This window comes from Homo sapiens, chromosome 19 (genome assembly GCF_000001405.40).
Source record: "Homo sapiens chromosome 19, GRCh38.p14 Primary Assembly".
In the NCBI taxonomy this organism is placed as follows: domain Eukaryota; kingdom Metazoa; phylum Chordata; class Mammalia; order Primates; family Hominidae; genus Homo; species Homo sapiens.
The window spans coordinates 13930894-13931186 of NC_000019.10; positions in this window are offsets into that span (position 1 = coordinate 13930894).

Sequence of the window (293 nt, forward strand, 5' to 3'; positions counted from 1 at the left end):
TGTCTGTTTCTTGCTCAGACCCTCGGTGGCCAGGCTAGGTCTTCCCACCCACCCCCCGGTTCCCCTGGAAGTGGATGGGGAGGCGCCTGTTAGGGAAGCAGTTTTGGGGAGGGACAGTGTGCTTGTGAAAGGTGCTTTTTTTTTTTTTTTTTAGAGACCGGGTTTCCCTCTGTCACCCAGGCTGCAGCGCAGTGGCACAATCAGCTCATTGCAGCCTCCGACTCCTGGGCTCACATGATCCTCCTGCCTCAGCCTCCTAACGGATTACAGAAGGGCACCACCACACACCCAGC